General features: G+C 39.5%; 1 long non-coding RNA gene across 1 annotated transcript; it reads left to right on the forward strand.

The window, feature by feature from the left end:
• Window positions 1–14,456: 14,456 nt before the first annotated feature.
• LOC105375324 (uncharacterized) lies at window positions 14,457–26,645 on the forward strand. Its single transcript, XR_927599.2, has 3 exons — window positions 14,457–14,932; window positions 15,521–15,630; window positions 25,523–26,645. It is a non-coding gene; the product is annotated as an uncharacterized LOC105375324 (long non-coding RNA).
• Window positions 26,646–26,895: the final 250 nt, after the last annotated feature.

Here is a 26,895-nt window from a genome sequence, read left to right on the forward strand (position 1 = left end):
TTCTGCTCAACACAATGTTTCTGAAATTATTCCCATTGTTGCATGGATTTCTAATTCAATTCTTTCCATTTAGGACTCAGCATATGTGTAGTCCTACCTGTTGAATGCCTGTCTCTGTTTAATTCATCATCTTGAAAGAAATATTTAAAATTAAGATGTTTTCAAGAACATACAGCTAAATCCTGAACAATCTGTGTAAGAATCTTATCAGAAGCCATTATCATTGTGGATATTGTGTTTTACAAAAAAAATTCAGGGAAAAGATTTATTAGCATAATAATTATAAAAAATCTGCCATTAACATTATGAAAATTAAATAGTTTGATGTTCATTTAATAGAATGTCAACAGAGCTTTCAGTCAAAAATAAGTTTTTTTTTACCATTGTGTTCTTTATCAGAAATAAAGTATGAAGTTTCACCACTTAAATAGAAAATTATTTCTACACTTTTCTGCCTTATAGTTCTATGGTATGGGTGGAAGGAAAGCTTCTACTTTCCTCTCTAAATGTTCACTGCAGAAATAATCTGACAACAGACAGCTTAACAGAAGAAGAAAAACATACAACCTTATTAACAGACATAAACATGGGAGCCAGCCAAAAAATGAGACTACAACAAGAGCCAGATTCTTGATGATTAAAGAGCACCCTCTTCCCAGGGGAGAGGGAGATGGAGATGTAGGTAATTTAGAGGGGCACCACATGATTTTTAGGGGAAATGAAAGAGCTCAAGGAACAAACAATTGTCCTGACACAAAATTCCTCTGAGATTGTAGGGAAGAGGCGACAAACTGCAGGAAGGTGAAAAAAAGAACAGCACTGCATCTCATGAGGAAGAGAAAACCCTCCAAATAACAAATAAGAAGTGTGTCTGGATAGGGTAATAAGTTGTCATTTCAAATGACATCATTCAAAGTGCATGTTCCCGGTTGCAATTGGAGAGAGATCAGTATGTCAAAAGTCTGTACTTGATAAGAATTTGGCAGCTAAGTTGTGCCGTAATTTAGCTTTTAAGCCTTTTTATTTATTGGGTAAACTGAGCTCTACATTTTCACTTGCTATTCATTGTAGTAAAAGTGTCTGGGTGTCTAGGGTCTGAACCTTCTTCTGAACAATGATCTATAAAAAATGCTAATACCACAATAATTGTTTATATTCAAGGAAAGAGAAAGTATGTTTTATTTTTACAACCCAGATAATTACACATCATTCAGCACTGCCCTTCAAGATATGTAGAAAACAGAAAATATATAAGTTATGAAGATATCTAGGCACATTAAACAGTCCCTACCCCGCTTAGTCTTGAACAGAGAATTTTCAATGTAAATTGGAGAAAGTTTTTTATTGAACCACTTTTTAAATATTCCATTAAGAAAAGTTCAGTCGAGCTGTTTGACTTGGACATCTTTGCACCTTCTCATGCATCTCATGATGCACACTTCTGCATCATCTCCTAAGCAGGGAGGTTGCGGGTGGCTCACAGTGTTTCTTCACTTCTCATTTCTTCATGTGTTTGACATTTCTCCTAGCTCTGAACTGTGCCAGCTACTTTTCCCATGAAACCAAGCAGTGGCTGTGGGATAAATGTGGTTGCTCTTTCATCTTTTTAGATCACCTATTGTTTCTATCAAAATCCTACTACAGTTTTTGTTTCTATTCTAGGTGCAAAAATCAGAAAAAAAATTTCTACAAAGAACTTGAAAGATGCTATTTCAATAAATAGCTCAGGAATTTCAGAAGCATATAACCCATATCTGTCATAGGATTTACATTGCATCTTGGCTATGATGAAAACAAATATTTCATGTCTTAGGAGATTAAGATCATACAATCTCTATATGGAATTCTTTGTGATAATTCATTAGTTGGTGAGAACGTTTTGTTAGGTTTAAACCAGCCTCAGTGAAGCTGGTGTCAGGGAAGGGAAAGTGGACTTTGAACAGAGCAGAAACAGAAGAAAGATGCTCTGCTGCAGGTCAGGAAAAAGCAGGGGGTGAAATGTTACAAATTCTAGAACTCAGAGAACTGAAGGTAATTACTTCCTTTTCAAATTGTGAAACATTTTAACCTGTGGTAAAATATTCATAACATGATAATTACCATCTAACCACGTTGAAGTCTACAGTTCAGTTATTTGAAGTATATTCGTGTCATTGCTCAATTATTATTTGCTAAATGTCTTCTCTCAAGTCCTTCTTAAAGTCATAAAATGTAAACGATGAATCCATGGATTAACAGTGGAAAGCCTGGAGGTCCAATAGCCTTAGCCAGGAACATATGCTATCTGTCAGAGTCCCCATAGCATGAAAGTGAGTTCGCCCTGGAAAGGGAAAAAACAGCTTTTTGCCCTCAGCTTTCTCACCTTCTTCTTTTCCCACCTGAACCAACGATTCAGGTCCACCTGTATGCATACAAAGAAAAGGGGTTTATCTTTTCCAGGAATTAAAATTGACCTGCAAGACGTCTTTACTTCATGGAGATCTGTAGAAGCTGAAGTCCAAAATGTGACGATGAAGCTCGGCAATTACAAAATCTATAGATAAAGAAAGACTGCCAAGGAAGAGTAAGATATTCATTGACACAAATGCTGTTGTATGAACCATGTCCCAATGAAAGTAGACAACTGTAATGTCCTTGAGAATATTTTCTGCAATATTTGTGGCAAATTCAGTGGGCATAAAATTGAGTTTTTTCTTCATGCTTTATTAGTTCAATCTTCATATTTTCTTTTCCTTCCTACATTCTTGTTTGTAATTTTTTAGGGGGAAGAGGAGGTACTGGTACTGGCATCATTCAATTTAATGCTTGGGTCACCTCTGGATTCATTATCACAGTCTTAGCTTTTGGTCATATTACATTGTATTTTTCTGCCATATGAATACTCTATTTAAATTAATTGTGAGATGCTGATTAATAATCTTTAGCAATGAAACGAAGCCTACTAGCATTTTATCTTGCTGCAGAAAAGATGGGAGTCTACTTCTGGGTTATGGTCAGGGTTCCTAGCACACCTGGATGCCCTTTAGATAGTCAGCCCTCTATATACTCAGCAACTGAGGTCATCAGTGCAGGCTCAGCCCCTACAAAGGCCAGGGTATTTCCTGTCCACCTCTATTGCTGGTGTGTGATTCTTCTGGGTTCCAACCAAAGCCAGTGGACTTCAGTAGGGGTCACCTTCATTGGCAGACCCTCAATCCACTTCTTTTCCATCTAATCCCATGCATGTGTGCAAAAGCTGCTCTGCTTCTTTGCATCTCAGTAGTCCCTTTCAGAATCCAAAGATGAAACTCAGGGAAATGGGCTCCAAATGTGAGACTGACCTTCTTTCTGAGTTTTCTTCTTCTCCATCTCAGCCTCATGTCCGTTTACTTCTGTGTTAGCAATTTGATGAATTAAATTATGGGTTTTATATACTGTCTGGTGTTTCCCATTGTTCTCATAGGAGATCAGAAACCTCAGATGCACTCGTGTCTACTCAAGAGCAGAATCCTTCCTTAGATTCCTTCCAGACTCAGGTTTTGTGTTTTTTAGTTTCCAAGGGCACAGCAGGAGTAGTGATGTCCTCACTAGCTTTTCACTTGCACTAAACTGTGACCTCATTTAGGGTGAGGACAGGAACCTGCTCCCATTTCAGCTTTAGCACCTCACAACACACTCCTTGCTTGAGGTCACTCCAGGCAGCATGTGTTGAAGGATGGCCTGGGTGGTCAGAAACAAGTGCATTAACTTTCTCTTTGAAGAGTTTTTGTTCCTGTTTCCTAGAGTTATTGGAATTTTACATGTCCTCCATATGAAATCAAGTATTAAGTGAGATCCTTGGAGTCAGAACCATGAATCAAGTAGTGTGAAGGCAACACAGCAAACCTACCTTTTTAGGCCATTTTCTTTTTCTGCACTCACTCTCTATGAACTGAACCTTGTTAAAGTTGCTCAACAGCAGGGTGGATGATATGCAGTTGTCACCAATTTTCAGGACATAACACCCTGACTAAGGAGCCATTTAGATCATTTCTAATTCAGTATATATGCCCAGCACTCAAATTAGCCTTATCTCTCAATAAGGAGCTTTAAAGTCGATGATGAGAGTTCCATTCCTCAATTATGGAAATGTACAGTGGTGAACTGCAGGGTTAATGACACCATGTTCTGGAAGGATCTCTCTAAGACTGATTGTCAGGATTCTGACATTAGCCTCTGATAGAGAATCAGATCTGCCACGGGAGGAGAAAGATGAGTAGTGATTCCTACTCCATCCTGATAGAGTTAGTTTTGATGATTTGGTGAGGTCTGGTTTTCCACACTAAACTAAAATGAGCTTTTGCCGTGTCAAGCACAAGGCTGACCCCAGAAGCAGACATAGTGCATCTCACAGAAGCTTGTAATAGTCTTTACTTACTAAAGAATAGGACTATAGACCTATTAAGATGAGCTGGAAATAACAGGTTACTTGCTAGCAGGCCAGAGTGATTTTTCTTTGTCCCTCAATGGGAGGTGTCAATTCTTCCTCCAGTTGTAAGGATCAGTTGCTTCACTTATGGGAAGGTTGGCAGAGGACCTTCGAATCATGGCCTTCAGACGTCAGAAGGGAAGAGAGAATCCCACATGGGCTAGTGAATCGTGTGCATGTATTTCCCTTCTCACCTCAGGAAGCTGGGAATGAAAGAACGTGAGTGAGCAGAAAAGAAGAGACAGCTGTCAGAGGCAGAGGAAAATGTAAAATTGATTATGGAAAAAATAGACATCTACATGTGAGTTCAGAAATTGAACACCAGCCTCTTGGGAAACTTCCATTGGAGTGTTTTGTTTTCAACTTTTTTACAATGTTTAGACCCAGTTAACACAGAAATAGAAACAAATGGTCAGAAGACATATCTAAAGAGAGAATTCACACAAGGGAGAACAAAGTACCTTAAGATTTAACAGTGACCAAAACATGTGAAGTAGCAAAACATCTCCTGACCCCAATGCAGGTCAGGCTGTGAGGAATCTAGGTTCATACCAGCCTTTCTAGGGATTGTGTGAGTTTTTGTCATCCTTAGAAAAGCATGTTGTTGTAGGATCAGCCGCATTCTTCAAACTGACTGTGCCTGTTGAGAAGCCCAGCTTTTTCTGCCCTGTGAAATATGGCAAAGACATTAATACAAGGAGAATGGAGCTTTATGATAAAAGATGACAAGTGAAGGATGAATTAGGGACATACCAAGAATAGGTAAGAAAATTGTCAACTCAGAAACCATCAGGCATTAAGTAAAGCAGGAGGAATCATTATAGCAACACTTTTGATCATACTGTACTTTTATAACCATGTGAAAAACGTTTTCTATGTATAGATTTACATAGGATACAGTTATGGGGATAACAGGAACATTACAGATTATTTAAAATCATACTGAAAATGGTGCTTTATCTGATGAAAGTGATTCTAAATCATAGGAAAATGATTTAAGACATGCAAGAGCTGTGGCAGCAGGTAGAGGACTACTATAGATGCGAGTTAAGAAGCCTTCCTCCCCACAGTTACGGAAGCTTTCAGTGCTGATGCAGATGATTCCACGACACTTGGACTCTCTCAACATGTAATTTTTCATGTGTTGGCTTTTTCATATCATGCCTTCTGCAAGAAAGGCTCTCGAAGAATCCTGTCTCCCAAGGGAGGAGTCAGACAGGGATCAAGAAGAGTCAGACAAGAGCGATCTCCTGCCTCCCAGATGCTCCATTTTGACTGAGTTAGTTGTGAACTTGTTAAATACTACAAAAAAGTGTTCTGAACTTGTTGAATCAAAACATGGGTTTTTTCTTTGATATAAGGTAGCACATCACAAAGCATTTACTCAGATAGTTGTTTCTAGCTTTTAGGACTGGATATTTGTATGTACCCATGAAAGCTCAATGGGCTCAGACATGCCACTTCTTAAATTCTACAAAAAGAGTATTTGGAACTTGTTTTATCAAAAGGCATGTTTAATTCTGTGATATAAACAATACATCACAAAGTGTTTTCACAAATAGCTTATTTCTAGTTTTTAGGGCTGGATATTTCTATTTTCATGCAAAAGCTCAATAGGTTCAGAAACATCACTTCTTAGATTCTACAAGAAGCCTGTTACAAACTTGCTGAATCAAAACAGGTTCCATTCTGTAATATAAAATAGCATACCCCAGAGCATTTTCACAAATAGATTATTACTCACTCTTAGAACTGGATATTCATATGTCTCTGTAAATGTTCAATAGGCTTTGAAATGTCACTTAGATTCTACAAAAGAAGTATTTGAAACTTGTTTCATCAAAATGAAGGTTTAATTCTGTGATATAAAACAGCACATCACAAAACGTTTTTACAGATAGATTGGGCTTTAGGGCTAGATATTCATATTTTTTATAAGGGCTCAATAGGTTCAGAAACATAACTTTTTAGAATCTATAAAAAGAGTGTTTTGAACTTGTTGAATCAAAACAGGTACAATTGTGTTATATAAAATAGGAAATAACAAAGTGTTTTCACACATAGCTTGTTTCTAGTTTTCAGGGCTGGATTTTTGTATGTTGCTATAAGGACTCAATACACTTAAATATGTCACTTTTTAGATTCTACAAAAAAAGCATTTGGAACCTGTTTTGTCAAAATGCAGGTTCAGTCCTGTGACGTAATACAACATATCACAAAACACTTTAACAGATAGCTTGTTACTAGTTTTTAGGCCTGGATATTCATATTTTCTTATCAGGGCTCAATAGGTCAGAAATGTCACTTCTTAGATTCTACAAAAATCATATTTTGACCTTATTGAATCAAAACACAGGTTCTATTCTGTGATATAAAATGGAACATTACAAAGCATTTTCACAGATAGCTTGTTTCTAGTTTTTAGGACTGGATATTCATAAGTTCCTATAACAAATTAATAGGAAATGTTCCTTCTTAGATTCTACAAGAAGAGTGTTTGGGACCTGTTTTATCAAAATTCAGGTTCAATTCTGTCATATAAAACAGCACATCACAAAGAGTTTTCACAGATAGCTTGTTTCTAGTTTTTAGGACTGTATATTTGTATTTTCTTATAAGGGCTCAATAGGTTTAGAAATGTCACTTTTTAGATTCTATAAAAAGAGTGTTTCAATCTTGTTGAATCAAAACACAGGTTCCATTCTGTGATAAAAAAGAAAAAACAGCAAAACATAAAGCATTTTCACAGATAGCTATTTTCTAGTTTTTAGGGCTGGATATTTGTATTTTCTTGTAAGGGCTCAATAGATTCAGAAATGTCACATCCTAGATTCTACAAAAAACTGTTTCAGACTTATTTAATCAAAACATAGTTTCCATTCTGTGATATAAAATAGCACATCACAAAGCATTCTCACAGCTTGTTTCTAGTTTTTTGGACTGGATATTTGCATGTTCGTATAAAAGCTCAATAAGCTCATCTATGTCTCTTCTTAGATTCTACAAAAAGAGTGTTTTGAACTTGTGGAATCAAATTACAGGTTCCATTCTGTAGTACAAAACAGCACATCACAATGTGTTTTCATACAGAGCTTGTTTCTCATTTTAAGGGCAGGATATTCATATGTTACTATAAGGGCTAAATTAGCTTAAAAAAGTCACTTCTCAGTTTCTACAAAAAGAATGTTTGGAACATGTTTCATCAAAATACACATTTAATTTAGTAATAAAAAACAGCACATCCCAAAGTATTTTCACAGATAACTTGTTTCTAGTTTTTACTGCTAGATATTAGTATTTTCTTATAAGGGTTCAATAGGTTCAGAAATGTCACTTTTTAGATTCTACAAGAAGAGAGTTCTGAACTTGTTGAATCAAAACATAGATTCCATTCTGTGATATAAAACAGCACACCACAAAGCGTCTTCACAGATAGCTTGTTTCTAGTTTTTAGGATTGGATATTCATTCATATGTTCCTATAAAGGCTCAATAGGCTCAAAATTGTTACTTTTTGAATTTTACAAAAAGAACGTTTGGAACCTGTTTCATCAAAATGCAGGTTCAATTCTGTGGTGTAAAATACCAAATAACAAAACATTTTTACAGATAGCTTGTCTCTAATATTTAGTGCTGGATATTCCTACTTTCTTATAAAACCTGAATAGGCTCAGAAAATTAATTCTTAGGTTCTACAAATATAGTGTTTCTAACTTGTATCAAAACACAGGTCCCATTCTGTGAAAAAAAAAATAGCACATCACAAAAATATTTCACAGATAGATTGTTTCTGGTTTATATTGCTAGATACTTGTATTTTCTTATAAAAGCTCAATAGGCTCAGAACTGTCAGTTTTTAGATTCTACAAAAAAGGGTTTAAAATCTGTTTTATCAAAATGTGGATTGAATTCTGTGATATAAAACAGCACATCGCAAAGCATATTCAGGGATAGCTTGATTCCAGTTTTTAGGGCTGGATATTTGTATTTTATTATATGAGCTCAATACGTTCCTAATCATCACTTCATAGATTCTACAAAAAAGTATTTTAAACTTGTTGAATAAAAAAAGGTTACATTCGTTGAAACAAAACAGCAGAACACAAGCGTTTTCACAGATAGCTTGTTTCTACTTTTTAGGACTGGATATTTGTATTTTCTTATAAGGGCTCAATAGATTTAGTAACATCACATATTAGATTCTACAAAAAGACTTTCAAACTTGTTGAATCAAAACACGGGTTCCATTCTGTGACATAATACAGCACATCACACAGTGTTCTCACAGATAGCTTGTTTCTAGTTTTTAAAGCTGGATATACCTATTTTCTTCCAAACACTCAATAGGTTTGGAACCGTCACTTCTTAGATTTCACAAAAAGAGTGTTTTGAACTTGTTGAATCAAAACACAGGTTCCATTCTGTGACATAAATACCACATCACGAAGCATTTTTACATATAGCTTGTTTCTAGTTTATAGAACTGGATATTAATATATTACTACAGGGGCTCAATAGGCTCAGTAATGTCACTTCTAAGATTCTACAGAAAGGCTGTTTGGAACCTGATTTGTCAAAACACAAGTTAGATGCTGTGCTATAAAATAGCACATCAGAAATTGTTTTCACAGATAGATTGTTTCTAGTTTTTAGGACTGGATATTTTTATGTTCCTATAAGGGCTCAATAGGCTCAGAAATGCCATTTTTAATTTCTACCAAAAGAGTGTTTGGAACCTGTTTCATCAAAATGCAGGTTCGCTTCTGAAATATAAAACAGCACATCACAAAGCATTTTCACAAATAGCTTTTTTCTAGTTTTTAGGACTGAATATTCACTTGTTCCTATAAGGGCTTAATAGGCTTGGAAATGTCACTTCTTTGATCGTGCAAAGAGAGTGTTTGGAACATATTTTATCAAAATGGAGGATCCATTTGGTGATATAAAGCAGCAAATCACAAAAGGTTTTCACAAATAGGTTGTTTCTAGATTTTAGGACTGAATATTCATGTGTTCCTATAAGGGCTCATTGGGCTTGGAAATGTCACTTTTTAGCATCTACGAAAAGAGTGTTTGGAACCTGTTTCATCAAAATGCACGTTCAATGCTGTGTTTAAAAAGAGCACATCACAAAATGTTTTCATAGAGGGCTTGTTTCTAGTTTGTAGAGCTGGATATTCGTATGTTCTCATAAAAACTCAATAGGCAAGGAAATGTCACTTTTAGATTCTATGTAATTTTTGCTTGGAACCTGTTTCATTAAAACACAGGTTCAATTCTGTGATATAAAACAGCACATCACAAAGAGTTTTCACAGATAGCCTGTTTCTAATTTTTAAGACGATATTTGTATATTTTTATAAGGGCTCACTAGGCAGGGAAACGTCACTTCTTAGATTCTACAAAAAGATTATTTGGAACCTGTTTCATCAAAATGCAGGTTGAATTCTTGGATATAAAATAGCACATCCCAAAGCATTTTCACAGATGTCTTGTTTCTAATTTATAAAACTGGATATTTGTATGGTCCTAGAAGTGCTCATTAGTCTTGGAAATGTCACTGCTTAGATTCCACAAAAAGAGTGTTTGAAACCTATTTAATCAAGATGCAGTTTCAATTTCATGATATAAAACAGCACATCACAAAGTATTTTCACAAGTAGGTTGTTTCAAGTTTTTAGGGCTGCGTATTCATATGTTTCTATAAGGGCTCAATAGGCTTGGAAATGTCACTCGTTGGCATCTACACAAAGAGTGTTTGTAATCTGTTTCACGAAAATGCAGGTTCAATTCTGTGATGCAGAACAGCACATTACAAAGTATTTTTACAGATAGATTGTTTCTAGTTTTTAGGACTGGAAATTCATATTTTCTTATAAGGACTCAATAGTTTGGAAACATCACTTTTAGATTCTATAAAAAGGGTGTTTCATCCTTGTTGAATAAAAACAAAGATTTCATTTTGTGATATAGAACAGCACATTATAAAGTGTTTTCACAGATAGCTTGTTTCTAGTTTTCAGGGTTGGGTATTTTTATGTTCCTATAAGTGCTCAATAGATTCAGATACGTCAATTCCTAGAATCCCCAAAAAGAGTGTTTCAAACATGTTTCATCAAAATGCATGTTCAATCTGTGAGACAGAACCGCAGATCACAAAACGTTTTCACATATAGCTTGTTTCTAGTTTTTCATGTGTATATATGTACTTTTTAATAAGGTCTTATTAAGTTTGGAAATGGTACCACTTAGATTCTACAAAAAGAGTGTTTCAAACTTGTTGAACCAAAATACAGGCTCCATTCTGTCATATAAAACAGCACATCACAAAGCATTTTTACAGATAGCTTGTTCCCATTTTTTAGGACTGGATCTTCTTATGTTCCTATAAGAGCTAAGTAGGCTCAGTAATGTCACTCTTTCAATTCTAAAAAAAAGAGTGTTTGGAACCTATTTCATTAAAACACTGATTCAACTTGGGGATATAAAACAGTGCATCAAAAGCATTTTTACAAATAGCTTGTTTCTAGGTTTTAGGGCTTGATATTCTAATTTTCTTATAGGGGTTCAATAGGTTTGGAAATGTCACCTCTTAGATTCTACAGAAGAGTATTTTGAACTCGTTGAATAAAAACACAGGTTCTTTTCTGTGATGTAAAACAGCACATTACAAGGCGTTTTTATGTACAGCTTGTTTCTGGTTTTTAGAACTGGATATTTGTATTTTTTCATAATGCTCAATAGGTTCAGAAACACAACATTTTAGATCCTACAAATAGACTGAAAGTTGCTGAATCAAAACACAGGTTCAATGCTGTAATATAAAACAGCACAACACAAAGTGTTTTCACAAATAACTTGTTTCTAGGATTTTGGGTGGATATTTGTACTTTCTTGTTAGGTCTTAATAGATTCACAAATAGCACTACTTAGATTCCACACAGAGTGTTTTGAACTTGTTGAATCAAAACAAAGCTTCCATTCTGTGACATAAAACAGCTCATCACAAAGCGTTTTTACAGAAGCTTGTTTCTAGTTTTAGTTTTTAGGACTGGGTACTCTTATGTTCCTATAAGAGTTCAATAGGTTCAGTAATGTCACTTCTTACATTTTAAAAAAAGATCATTTGAAACCTATTCATAGAAACACTGATTCAATTCAATGATATAAAACAGCATATCACAAATCATTTTCACAGATAGTTTTTTTTTTTTTTTTTTGAGATGGAGTCTCACTCTGTCACCCAGGCTGGAGTGCAGTGGCGTGACCTCAGCTCACTGCAAGCTCCGCCTCCTGGGTTCATGCCATTCTCTTGCCTCAGCCTCCCAAGTAGCTGGCATTACAGGTGCCCGCCACCATGTCCAGCTAATTTTTTGTATTTTTTAGTTTCACCACGTTAGCCAGTATGGTCTCGATCTCCTGACCTTGTGATCCACCCGCCTCAGCCTCCCAAAGTGCTGGGATTACAGGCGTGAGCCACTGCGCCCGGCCTGTTTCTAGTTTTTAAGGCATGATTTTTGTATTTTCTTATAGGGGCTCAATGGCTTCAGAAATAACACTTCCTAGAGTCTACAAAAGAGTGTTTTGAACTTGTTGAATCAAAACACAGGTTGTATTCTGTAATATAAAACAGCACATCACAAAGCATTTTCACAGATAGCTTGTTTCTAGTTTTTATGGCTAGATATTCATATTTTCCCATAAGGGCTCAATGGGGTAAGAAATGTCACTTCTCAGATTTTACAAGAAGAATGTTTGTAACTTGTTGAATCAGAACGCATGTACCATATTGTGATATAAAACAGCACACGACAAAGCATTTTCACAGATGGCTTTTTTGTAGTTCTTGGGACTGAATATTTGCATATTCTTATAAGGGCCCAGTAGGCTCAGAAATGTAACTTTTTAGACTCTACAAAAACAATGTTTTGAACACTGTTTTATAAAAATGCAGGATCAGTTCTGTGATATACAACAGCAAATCCCTAAGCATTTTCACAGATACGTTGTTCATAGTTTTTAGGGCTGAATATTTGAATTTTCTCATAAAGCCTAAATAAGTTTGGAAATGTCACTACTAAGATTCTACAAAAAGATTGTTTTGCACTTGTTTCATCAAAATGCGGGTTTAATCATGTGAAATAAAACAGCACATCACAAAGCATTTTTACAGATAGCTTGTTTCTAAGTTTTAGGACTGGATATTCATATTTTCTTTTAAGGACTCAAATTTGGAATGCCACTTTTTAGATTCTACAAAAAGAGTGTTTGGAACCTTTTTCATCAAAACACAGTTTAAATTCTGTGATAGAAAACCACACATCAGAAAGCGTTTTTACAGATAGTTTTTTTTGTTGTTTTTAGGGCTGAATATTTATATTTTCTAATAAAGGCTCAATAGCTTTGGAAACTTTACTTTTTAGATTCCAGGAAAAGTGTGTTTAGAACTTGTTGAATCAAAACAGAGTTTCCCTTTTGTGATGTAAAACTGCACATTACAAAGCATTTTCACAGATAGTTTGTTTCTATTATTAAGGGCTAGATATTGATATATTCCTATAAAAGCTCAATAAGTTCAGAAAGGTCGCATCATAGTTTCTGCAGAAAGAGCATTTGGAACATGTTTCATTAAAATGAAGTTCAATTCTGTGATGTAAAACAGGACATCACAAAGTGTTTTCACAATACGTAACTTCATAATTTCTACAAAAAAAAAGTGTTTCGAATTTGCTGAATCAAAGCATAAGTTTGACAGATTTTTACATATACCTGGGCCAAGCACTTTGATAGTTTGACTCTCCTTTCTTAACAATGTCCTCAGAAGGGATTGTGACACATCTCTGGACCCATTATCTAGGTTACATGTCCCCCCCTTTTGCCTGGACCCTGCCTTCAGTCAGCATTGTAGCATTTCTCAGCACTGCAACCAAACAATACGACTCTTTTGCTTGGGTGGTGTTTACAGGAGACATTGTGAAATATCTCTAGGCCCATCGTTTATGTGATATGACTCTACTCTCCTGCCTGGGCGTGCCCAAAAGGGGCATTGTGCCATAGAGCTGGGCCTAGTCCCCAAGTTTTGTGACTTTTCTCTCAGGACACTGCCTACAAGGAGAATATTGGAATATTTCTGGAAAAGCATTTAGGTGATGTGGCTGGGCTCCCTGTCAAAACCACAGAGGGGATTGTGACATATAGCTAGGTACAGCTCACAGGCATGATAATAACTCTCATATGTGGACCCAGCCAATAAGAGAAATTTTTACTCTCATGACTAGGTTTAGGGACACTAGTAATGTCCTCAATCTCCTTCTAGTATAAAGGTCACAGAAGATTACAATACTCACACATGTTATATAAAGACCTGTGTTGTACAGAGAGTGTCATAACATGGCCCAGCACACAAGTGAAATTCTGAGTCTCATATGCACACCCAGCTGACAGTAAGAACTGTCACTGTCTCACATGTATGAAGCCAACTCTCACACATGAAAACAGGACATATGTGGCATTGCAAATCTCATCCCTGGAATTCTCTGCCAGTGTGATTGTGATATATATCTTTGCCAAGGACCTGTGTGATTTGACTCTCCAGATTGTTTCCAGCCCATATATGGGACTGTGATGTCTATCTGGGCTAACCTCTTGTGATGTGACTACTCTGCCTGGGGCCTGCTCTCACTAAGGATTGTGACATATATCTGGATCAAGCACCCAGGTGATGTTACATTCTTGCATGCACCATGACCACAGAAATTACTGTGATATGTCACTGTGTCCACCACTTAGTTGACATGACTCTCCTCTCTGGAATGGGCCCTGCATATGGGTGGGGATACTGACATATTGCTAGGCCATGCTCACAGGTGATGGTACTTTTTTGCCAGGGCCATGCTTCACATAGGACATTGTGACACATCTCTGGGCCTATCACCTAGGTGATGTGACTTTCTTCTTGGGTCCTGACCACATGGAGCATTGTGACATACGGGTGGAACCTGCACCTAGGTGATGTAACCCTCTTGCCTGGGTTTTGTTTTAAGGGAGCCTTATGACATATCTCAGGACCCAGCACTCAGTTTATGTGGTTCTTCTGCCCAGTTTCTGCCCACATGTTAGACTGTGACAAATACATAGGGAAGCACCTAGGTGATAAGATTCTTTTTTTCTACCTCAAGCCTGCATACTGGGGAAATTGGAACACATCTCTGAGCCCATGACATAACTGATATGACTTTCTTCTCTTGCCTGGATCTTTACAATGCGGGGATTGTGACATATTTCTGAGCCCAGCCCTTAGGTAATATGACTATCCTCATTTTTCTGAATCATGCACACAAGGGGAAATTTTGATCTATTGCAGGGCCCAGAACCCAAATGATGTTACTCTTCTGCCTAAGTCCTGAATTAAGATGGAATTATGGCATATTGCTGGGCCCAGCACCCTGATGATGTGACTCTCCTGCCTGTTCCAGAGCCACAGAAGGTATTTTAGCCTGTCTTAGACCCATCCTTTAGGTGTTTGGGCTCTCATGCCTCATCTGTGTTTATTCCACATGTATTAGTCTGTCACATTGCTGGGTCCAGCACCCAGTTTATGTGACCCTCCTTCTTAGGGCCTGCCTAGAGAGGGCATTGTGACATACTGCTAGATCAAGCACACAAGTGTTGGTACTCTTTTGCCAGGGCCATGTTTCAAGGAGGACGTTGTGACATATCTCTGGGCCTATCACCTAGGTGATGTGACTTTCTGCTTGGGCCTTGCCCACATGGAACATTGTGAAATAAGGGTGGAACCTGCACCTAGGTGATGTTACTCTTTTGCCTGGTGTGATGGTTAATACTGCATGTCAACTTGATTATACTGAAGAATGCAAAGTATTGATTCTGGGTGTGTCTGTGAGGGTGTTGCCAAAGGAGATTAACATTTGAGTCAGTAGGCTGGGAAAGGCAGACCCACCCTTAATCTGGCGGGCACCATCTAATCACCTGCCAGTGAATATAAAGCAGGTAGAAAAATGTGAAAAGGCGAGACTGGCCTAGCCTTCCAGCTGACATCTTTCTCTTGTGCTAGATGCTTCCTGCCCTCAAACATCGGATTCCAAGTTCTTCAGTTTTGGGACTCGGACTGGCTCTCCTTGCTCCTCAGCTTGCTGACAGCCTGTTGTTGGACCTTGTGATCATGTAAGTTAATAATAAACTAACTCCCATATATATGGGAGTTTATTTTATATATATAATATTTTATATTTATATATATGTGTGTGTGTGTGTATATATATATATAGTCTGTTAGTTCTGCCCCCCTAGAGAACTCTAATACAGATTTTGGTACCAGTATTGGTTCTAACAGAATATTAAGGATGGAGTTCTTTTATTGGTTTTGGGGTTTCTGGAGTTGGCTGCTTAATATGATTAGACCCCAAAATGCTAAGGAGTCTACTTCTAATAGTATGAAGAACACTGATAGTCCTTGGCATGAACTGTTTAGAGAGTTATGCAAAATAAATGCATTTGATGCTCCTGATTTACTGCTTGTGAGGGGCAAGAAGTTTAGTGACTCTACACATAATACCTTTGACCATATGTGGAGAACCATGGAACATAGTGAAGCTTGTTGGTTGCTCCTAAGTTCAGCAGACAAAGTGATGAAAGAAAATGACGACATCAGGGATGCCATCTCCTGGCTTCAGAAGCAAATACGGAGCCTCAAATCTGCTAAGATTGCCCTGAATGAGAGTCTTATCTGATGTAGAGAAAGAGCTGAAATTGTGGAAAAACAGACACAAGCTTTTACCATGCAAGTGGCTGACCTGCAATGGAAGATGCATGCACAGCCTCTCCAGGTGTCTACTATTAAAGTGAGGGCATTGATTGGAGAAGAATGAGATCCTGAAACTTGGAAGAGGGATGTGTGGGAGTACCCTGATGAAGCTGCGGACACCGAATTTTTAAACTCTGATGAACCTGTTTTACCAGAAGGAACAGCTTCCCCATCCCCAGGAGTGGCAACATCCCCTTCCCAACCCATGCCATCAGCCTTTCCACCTTTGTCTGAGGAGATAAACCCTGGGTTGCCTGAGAATATTCTGTTCCTCTAGATGGCCTCCCCTGAGGCAGTTGCCAGGCAAGATAACGTTGATTCTCCACAGGAGCCACCCCCAACATCCCATTTGCTTCTAGACCTATAACTAGACTAAAGTCCCTGTGGGCCCTAGAGGTGGGGTTCAGAGTGTGACCCTGAGAAGGTATGCTACACTCAAAAAGAACTGTTTGAGCTCTCTAATTTATATAAACAGAAATCTGGAGAATGGGCATGGGAATGGATATTAAGGGTAAGGGATAATGGTGGAAGGAACATAGAGTTGGATAAGGCTGAATTTACTGATTTGGGCCTACTAAGTAGGGACTCTGCTTTTAATGTTGCAGCTTGGGGAGTTGAAAAAGTTTCTAACAGTTTATTTGCTTGGTTAGCTGAAATATGGATTAAAAGATGGCCCTCTGTGAGTGAGCTGAAAATGCTTGATCTCCCTTGGTTTAATGTAGAGGAAGGTATCCAAAGGCCTAGAGAGATTGGGATGGTGGAGTGGATTAGTCACTTTAGACCTACTCATCCCAGCTGGGAAGGTCCAGAAGATATACCCCTGACCAATGCCTTCTGATATTGTTTGTGATAGGTGTGTGGGGGCAGCACCCGCATCTTTGAAGAGCCCTGTAATTGCTCTTCTCTGTATGTCAGATCTAATGGTGGGAAATGCGGTCACTCAGCTACAAAATTTAAATTCAGTGGGAATCATTGGATCCCAAGGTGGCAGGGGCCAAGTGGTGGCACTCAGCCATCAAAGGCAAGGTGGGTGTAGTTACCATAATGGACAGCAGAGGCAAAGTGGCAGTCAGAATAGTCTCACTTGTGCAGAGCTCTGGCATTGGCTAATTAATCGCGGTGTTCCTAGAGATGAAACTGATAGGATGCCTACTGCATTCCTACTTAATTTATATAAGGAGAAAACTTCTAGGTTGAATGGACAAAAGACTAATTTAAATTATAAAAACAGAGAATCATGGCACCTCAATCAATTTCCAGACTTGAGCCAGTTTACAGACCCAGAACCCCTTGAATGAAGGAAGGGGAGGCCAGATTGTCTTGAGGAAGGACCCCACTACATTACTGACAATTTACGTAGTGAATCTTTTACCCATCCTTCCCCAAGCAGACCTCCGTCCTTTTACCAGGGTAATTGTGTAGTGGGGAAAGGAAAATGATCAGACATTTTGGGGACTACTGGACACTGGCTCTGAGCTGACGTTAATTCCAGGGGACCCAAAACGTCATTGTGTCCCTCAGTTGAAGTAGGGGCTTTCTGGCCTCCCAGAATACTAGGGTGAATTTATATTTATTATTTATTTATTTATTTATTTATTTATTTATTTATTTATTTATTTATTGAGACAGAGTCTTGCTCTGTCGCCCAGGCTGGAGTACTGGAGTGCAGTGGCCCGATCTCAGCTCACTGCAAGCTCCGCCTCCCGGGTTCAAGCCATTCTCCTGCCTCAGCCTCCTGAGTAGCTGGGACTACAGGCGCCCGCCACTACACCCGGCTGATTTTTGTATTTTTTAGTAGAGATGGGGTTTCGCTGTGTTAGCCAGGATGGTCTGGATCTCCTGACCTCATGATCCGCCCGCCTCGGCCTCCCAGAGTGCTAGGATTACAGGCCTGAGCCACCGCGCCCGGCCGAATTTATTTTTCTGTAACACCGCCAGGATTCGATGGTGCAAGTCTTGTAGTCCAGAGACATCTTCCTGACGCTGCTCCCCATCTTGTGCCCTCTCTTTCCTGGCATCCTTCCCCTTGCAGAAGGAGGAACTTTTCTCATGTTCTTTCCAGTCCCTCCCTAACAGGGAAGCCTGGAGACTAGGGTGCCTGCTTTCCACTGCAGCCACAAAGTATGGGGGTGCCAGCTAGGAGGTGGTTTCCTGGGGTGCCCTCCCGAGGGTGCTTGGTAGGAGCATCTGCTGTGCTCTGCTCTGAGGACTTTGATCCTCCTGGGCAGAGGACACTGGCATCAAGGGGGCAGCAAGCAGCCCTGCACCCTGGCCCTTTCCTAGCTGGCAGCTGTGGTGTGTCCTACTACCATCTAAGGTGCCCAGGAAAGAAGGGGGCCAGGGCCTGGTCATGGGGGCACCTATTGTTCCTTGAAATTCCATTGGCGGGGTACATGTTTTACTGAAAACTGTCGGTGTGGAGTGCACCATCCTTGCACAAGGTGGGGGGCTTGGTGCCTGGTGCGATTGTGAACCCAGAAAAAAAGACAGGGGTCCTTCTCCCACTGGAACAATTTTTTTTTTTTTTTTTTTGAGATGGAGTATCGCTCTGTCACCCAGGCTGGAGTGCAGTGGCACGATCTTGGCTCGCTGCAGCCTCTGCCTCCCGGGTTCGAGAGATTCTTCTGCCTCAGGCTCCTGTAGCTGGGAGTACAGGCACCCACCACGCCCGGCTAATTCTTGTATTTTTAATAGAGACGGAGTTTCACCATGTTGGCCAGGCTCAAACTCCTGACCTCAAGTGATCCGCCCGCCTCAGCCTCCCAAAGTCCTGGGATTAGAGGTTTGAGCCACTGCCCCCGGCCCTACTGGAACAATTTGTCGCTAGTTCTGGGGCTTCCCTTCCTCCTCTCATACTGGCCCACAGTCTAGTGTTGCTACCTCTGCCCCTAGCAACAGCCTCTGCCGGGGCCCCCTCGCCCCCTCCCCACTCGCCTCTCTTAGAAAACTGCTACCCTGTTGTTTCCTGACTTTTTAATGATCGCCATTCTAACTGGTGTGAGATGGTATCTCATTGTGGTTTTGATTTGCATTTCTCTGATGGCCAGTGATGATGAGCATTTTTTCATGTGTTTTTTGGCTGCATAAATGTCTTCTTTTGAGAAGTGTCTGTTCATATCCTTCGCCCACTTTTTCATGGGGTTGTTTGTTTTTTTCTTGTAAATTTGTTTGAGTTCATTGTAGTTTCTGGATATTAGCCCTTTGTCAGATGAGTAGGTTGCAAAAATTTCCTCCCATTCTGTAGGTTGCCTGTTCACTCTGATGGTGGTTTCCTTTGCTGTGCACAGGCTCTTTAGTTTAATTAATCCCATTTGTCAATTTTGGCTTTTGTTGCCATTGCTTTTGGTGTTTTAGACATGAAGTTCTTGCCCATGCCTATGTCCTGAATGGTATTGCCTAGGTTTTCTTCTAGGGTTTTTATGGTTTTAGGTCTAACATGTAAGTCTTTAATCCATCTTGAATTAATTTTTGTATAAGGTGTAAGGAAGGGATCCAGTTTCAGCTTTCTACATATGACTAGCCAGTTTTCTCAGCACCATTTATTAAATAGGGAATCCTTTCCCCATTTCTTCTTTTTGTCAGATTTGTCAAAGATCAGATAGTTGTAGATATGCGGCATTATTTTTGAGGGCTCTGTTCTGTTCCATTGGCCTATATCTCTGTTTGGTACCAGTACCATGCTGTTTTGATTACTGTAGCCTTGCAGTATAGTTTGAAGTCAGGTAGCGTGATGCCTCTAGCTTTGTTCTTTTGGCTTAGGATTGACTTGCTGGAGAGGATGTGGAGAAATAGGAACACTTTTACACTGTTGGTGGGACTGTAAACTAGTTCAACTATTGTGGAAGTCGGTGTGGCGATTCCTCAGGGATCTAGAAGTAGAAATACCATTTAACCCAGCCATCCCATTACTGGGTATATACCCAAAGGATTATAAATCATGCTGCTATAAAGACACATGCACACGTATGTTTATTGTGGCACTATTCATAATAGCAAAGACTTGGAACCAACCCAAATGTCCAACAATGACAGACTGGATTAAGAAAATGTCGCACATATACACCATGGAATACTATGCAGCCATAAAAAAAGATGAGTTCATGTCCTTTGTAGGGACATGGATGAAGCTGGAAACCATCATTCTCAGCAAACTATCACAAGGACAAGAAACCAAACACCGCATGTTCTCACTCATAGGTGGGAATTGAACAATGAGACCACATGGACACAGGAAGGGGAACATGACACACCAGGGTCTGTTGTGGGGTAGGGGGAGGGAGGAGGGATAGCATTAGGAGATATGCCTAATGTAAATGACGAGTTAATGGGTACAGCACACCAACATGGCACATGTATACATATGTAACAAACCTGCACGTTGTGCACGTGTACCCTAAAACTTAAAGTATAATAATAATAAAAAAATAAATAAGTAAAGATAAAAAAAAAAGAAAGAAAACTGCTACCCTGATGTTTGCTAAGACACAGGGGAGGTTCTTCCCCTCACCGACCCCCTCCCTAGGAAGCGGCATGTTTTCTGGGCCAAGGGCGCATCGAGGATGTGACCCACTCCCTGGCCAAGTGTGAGGCCGGGGCGTGGCGGCTGATCCCACTGCTCGGCGGGGCACTTTCCTTTCCAGGCAGAGAGGAGCCCTGGAGGGCACCGGGATCCCACCCAGCGCAGAACGCACTGGCCAGCGGGCCGCTTGGCAAGCGCCATGGGCCGCTGGCGACCCTCCTCAGCTCTGCATTAGTGAGAGGTTATGTAGAAGAGGAAAGAAATTTTCCTTGCTTAGCCGATTTGTCCTCCCTCTCTGCTTACTGGTTAGGAGATAGAACCCAGATCCGGGTGGCAATTCACATTCCATTACAAAACTCTACACAGCTTCCGGGCTAGCACCAGCACACATTTGGGGAACATCGGAGGGATTTTCTTCTTCTTTTGTGGGTGGTCATGATCGTGGTAGCGGAGAGACATAGAAGGGTGAATAAAAAATATAACGATTTGGTAAGTCAGAGCACCTGTCTGGGATTTTTATTAACGGAAAATTAAACCTTCGTTCTTAAGAGTTTAAGCTTAGCCCTTTCTAAGTCAATGGAAACAAAGTGCCTGTTGGATAAGAATGCTGAAATAGTAAGACATTTCTGTCTTTAAAAACCTTAAAATGATTTCTGCCAAGACAGAGTTTCCAGTATACCCACATATATTTGAGAGGGTTTGTTTTGTTTTGTTGTTTGTTTGTTTCTGAGACGGAGTCTCACTCTGTCGCCCAGGCTGGAGTGCAGTGGCACGATCTCGGCTCACTGCAACCTCCGCCTCCCGGGTTCAAGCGATTCTCCTGCCTCAGCCTCCCAGGTAGCTGAGGCTACAGGTGCGTGAAAGGGTTTATTTTTCCTTACATATGTAGTTGTCTCTGAATCTGTGCACGATTATTCTGAAGGAAGTTTAATAGAAGTGGAAGGTGAGGGAGAGAACTGCCAAGAGAAGGATGTGATTTTGTTTTCATTTTTTCACACTCATGAAAAGCATCCTCTAGATTTTGTGTTTTTTCAAGTAGGCAGGTATAGTTTTGAAGCCATATTTTAATTAGGGAATCTGAAATTAGAGGCCAAAGTCTTGGCTAAAACCTCTTTGAAAAAACAAAAAGATGCTTAGTTCAGTGCTACATTCAATTGCCACAGAACTTTTGCAGGAATGGGTATGAATTCCTTCTAAAGGATCCTGTGCTCCATTTCAGGTAAATAAAGTTACACTGTCTTATCATTCTTGAAAATACAGCTGGCCGGGCATGTTGGCTCATGCCTGTAATCCCAACACTTTGGGAGGCCTAGGCGGGCAGATCATCTGAGGTCGGGAGTTTGAGACCAGCCTGACCAATATGGAGAAACCCTGTCTCTACTAAAAATACAAAATTAGCTGGGCATGGTGGTGCATGCCTGTAATCCCAGCTACTCGGGAGGCTGAGGCAGGAGAATCGCTTGAACCCTGGAGGTGGAGGTTGCGGTGAGCCAAGATTGCGCCATTGCACTCCAGCCTGGGCAACAAGAGTGAAACTCCGTCTCAAAAAAAAAATATGGCTAAACTGGTAGCATATTAGGGTGTCTTGTTTTTCAAGGGATTTGCTGGATGTGTGATACTTTTAAAAATGCCATGGATGCTCACTGATATATGGAATATCATTCTCTGGGGTTTTCTAGATACCATTTTATTTCTCATCAGAAATTCAGACTCTAAGTTGAAAAATCAGGCAATGAAAGGAGTTCTGATGCTCTTACGTAGCATAAGATCTACTCTGATGGACTTAAGCCATTGTAAAAGTCCCAGCTTGGTTCCTATCAAAAGCCTCTTTCCATGAATGTTATGCTTACAAGTCAAACAGATAAAGCATCACTAAAGCAAACATAAACTACAAAGCTCTTAAAATTTAGGTGTACATTTCATTTGAAAATTATTCAAAAGCTCAAGCCATCTATAAGAAATGTCTTCTTTGCCTTTTAGTATCAAGAAATTAAAAAGAAAGAAGAAAAAGGAGAAGTGGGCAGACACGTGTTTGTTATGTGATAGGGAACATGTATCTCACTGAGCTGGTACAGGTGGTGCACCCATTCCTAACTTGTTACAACCATCCAACAAGTGACCTTTTGATGAAGGGATCTTTTATTTTAAGTTTCTTCAGGCAGATTCCTGAGGTCTTATTTGCATCTGACACAGGTACAGCATGTTACCTTTACCTAAAGCATTTTTTTCTCCTTTAAGAGAAAAAATAAACCTTACCTTATAAGTCCTGCATTTAATCAATAGCTTTTTATTGGCTACCTGGTTTATGCCAGGCACTATACAACATAGGTGTGCTGGTAATAAATGCAACTGCCCTACATCAGGGGTCGCCAACCCCTGGGCCACAGACTGGTATAAAGAGAGACTGTTGCTAGTCTCATAGATGATATGTCACATTGAAAGAGACTCAGCCAGCCATGAAGAGGTCATTTATATCTGTGTTAACTGCTAAAAGTTAAGTATGACAAGAACCTATGAAGTAAAGTTTGGCCTTTGTGTTGGGGGGAGAAATGGAGGATGCTGGGATGCAGGTCAAGGAAGGCATCCCATGGAAGTGACATTTTAACTAATATCTGAGGGATGGGTGACAGGAGGGAAAGAATGCTTCCGAGAACAGTTGGTACAGAAGCCCTGAGGTTGAAAAGGTGGATGTGTCCAGGGTAGTGAGAGAAGTACAGTGTGTTTGGAAGAGGAAAAAAATACTGAATGACGTAAATGACAGGAATGGTGAGGAAGGTAGGGAGTTGACCAGGTTTGTAAGAACTGTGGAAAGCTGTGAAAAGTGTTGGCCCAAAAAGCAGCATGATGATTAGCTGGGCACGGTGGCTCAGGCCTGTAATCACAGCACTTTGGGAGGCTGAGGCAGGCACATCACCTGAGGTCGGGAGTTCGAGACCAGCCAGACCAACATAGAGAAACCCCGTCTCTACTAAAAATACACAATTAGCTGGGTGTGGTTGCACATACCTGTAATCCTAGCTACTCGGGAGGCTGAGGCAGGAAAATCACTTGAATCTGGGAGGCGGAGGTTGTGGTGAGCCGAGATCGCACCATTGCACTCCAGCCTGGGCAACAAGAGTGAAACTCCATCTCAAAAAAAAAAAAAAAAAAAAAAAAAAAAAAAAAAAAGCAGCATAATGATATTTGCATGTTAGGGACTATTTTTCCCCTGGTAAGAGGAAATAATAATTGGCCTTCTCTTTGGAAGGAGATCAGTTAGAAGGCTAGTTTATGAAAATTTTGAAAACTAGTGGTGGCCTGGAGCATCGTGGCAGTAAAGATGGGAGCTCAGATGGATTTGATAGAGAATTAAGAGGTAGGAAAAGCTTGCCAATAGAATGGTGTTGGGAAGGGATGGATGACTTTCCGATCTTGGCTTTTATAGCTGGGTGGATGCTGATGCCTCACTGATACTGGAATGTTGGATTAAGCAATGTTTATGAACACAGCATGTTTTCTACCCTTTATAGAGTTATGCACATGTTTTTCATGTTTTTAGCTTTTTCTCTACTTGTAATGTGTTTTAGTTGGTTAAAAGTTATGTACCTGGCATGGATGAAGCATAAAAAGTACTCATGTAACAGTGAAAATTCAATGTCATTTTCTTACCTATTAAAATAATTAAATGGTTTCCTACTGCCCACTTCTCCTTTTTCTTCTTTCTTTTTAATTTCTTGATACTAACAGGCAAAGAAGACATTTCTTATAGATGGCTTGAGCTTTTGAATAATTTTCAAATGAAATGTACACCTAAATTTTAAGAGCTTTGTAGTTTATGTTTGCTTTAGTGATGCTTTATCTGTTTGACTTGTAAGCATAACATTCATGGAAAGAGGCTTTTGATAGGCACCAAGCTGGGACTTTTACAATGGCTTAAGTCCATCAGAGTAGATCTTATGCTACTTAAGAGCATCAGAACTCCTTTCATTGACTGATTTTTCAACTTATTTCTTAATTGGAACCCCATAAAGAACATGAGTGGTCTTCTGATACCCTTAATGTCTTAGCATTATATCAATATTTTGCTTACCAGTAATCTGTGTGAAAATAAAGTTTATTTAGTAAACGAAAGTTGCTGTGTATCTACTGTATGCTAGGATCTTCACTAGATCTGTGGGTGCCAAAGAAAAAGATCTATTTTACCCCTTTTGCAAAGAGTGAAACTTATTCCCACAGAGTGATTGTCTAACCAGCACTTAAATACATTTGGTGATGGCAGACTTACTACCTACCCCTCGACAGCCCTTGGGTTCCTACTATATTCATTCACTTCTTTTTTTTTTGAAACAGAGTCTCGCTCTGTCGCCCAGGCTGGAGTGCAGTGGCACAATCTCGGCTCACTGCAACCTCCACCTCCCAGGTTCAAGCAATTCTCCTTCCTCAGCCTCCCAAGTAGCTGGGATTACAGGCACCTGCCACCATGCCCAGCTAATTTTTGTATTTCTAGTAGAGACAGGGTTTCACCATTGTGGCCAGGCTGGTCTGGAACTTCTGACCTTGTGAACCACCCGTCTCGGCCTCCCAAAGTGCTGGGATTACAGGCGTAAGCCACCACGCCCAGGCTAATTCATTTTCTTTCCCATGACAAATAAAATCTTTTTGGAACAAGATAGATTGTGATGTGTTTTCTGCTGAGTTGGTACATGCTAGAAGCTGTTGTGCAGACATGTTGTTCTCTGCTTTATTCAACTTAGGAGACAGTGTGCAATCTGATCCCCAGAGAATTCTATCGGGGCATGCTTCAACTACTCAGCAAGTGGACATCTTTTACATGAAGATTTCTGCTCCTGAGAGAAGATATCTGTCTCCTTGGGCTGCACAGCCATCCTCTTATGTGTGAACTGGGCCACAATCCTCTTAAGACAATCTCACATGGAAGTCTTATTGGGACTCTCATTTTGGGCAATGCTTGTCTCTGATGTCATCTAAACAACTTACCAAAACCTCAGGTAACCCCCACTGTGCTCCAAAGAAGGTTCTCTTTTGTGGTGTCAATCCTGACAGATGCAACCTGAACATCCCTTTGGGCCCCAGGGAGCACTGGTCTCTCCATTTTGGAGAGAATGTGATTTTTCATCTCTTGCTTGGGAGCATGGATATTTCTGAATAACCACAACCATAAATTCTATTAAGAGAGACACCACACTTTATTTCATCTCTCTATTAGATAAGATAAACTGAATAGGAAGGAATCAAACATTAAAAAGCCCTCCCTACTCCTCATTTTTTAAAATTGGAATAGCTTGGTGAAGAGATGCTAAAGAGAATACTTCTAAAACTAAGCTTAAGTGTGATTTTTGAAAATTTAAATTTTAAGGTACTCTACAAATAACTCAGAGTGCTTTGCCTCACTGTGACCCAACCATATGTGTGGGTTTAGAAGCCTAATTATATGTTATTTATAAATATAACTTACCAGATAATTGCCTTGTGTGAATATCCAAGATTGAAATCAATAGTATGTTTAGAACCAATTTTTGGTGATGAGCATATATAAGCTAACTTTTGGATAAGCCATGCATAGCTACTTATTTTAAAGAATGCAGGATAGTGGTGACCACACATGCTGTCTGTTGGGTGATGAATTTTTAAAAAATATTTGTGTATTTGCACTATTATAGTGTTGGCTTCCTCAAGGCCCTGGTGTGTTGAATTTGCTATGCTTTGGGGTATGGGCATGTGTTACATACAGCTGTCTTCTAAATATGTTAGACCATCTATTGTGGTAAGATTAAGTGAATGAAAGTTGAATATATTTTCTGTAAGTCCCTGAGAAAATTAATGAAATAAGTGAATAAAGAAATACATGTTTTCGAATTTTAGTGAGTTTACTTCAGAGAAATTAAAAATTGTATCAGGTAAGCCAGGCCATGTAATGTGTCTTAAGGGTGTCTGTGATATGCTCATTCTTTGCACACTCAAAACCACTGTTGGTTAGGCGCAGTGGCTCACACCTGTAATCCCAGCACTTTGGGAGGCCAAGGCAGGTGAATCACTTGAGGTCAGGAGTTCGTGACAAGCCTGACTAACGTGGCAAAACCCCATCTCTACTAAAAATACAAAAAAT

Source organism: Homo sapiens, chromosome 7, assembly GCF_000001405.40.
Source record: "Homo sapiens chromosome 7, GRCh38.p14 Primary Assembly".
NCBI classification, from domain to species: domain Eukaryota; kingdom Metazoa; phylum Chordata; class Mammalia; order Primates; family Hominidae; genus Homo; species Homo sapiens.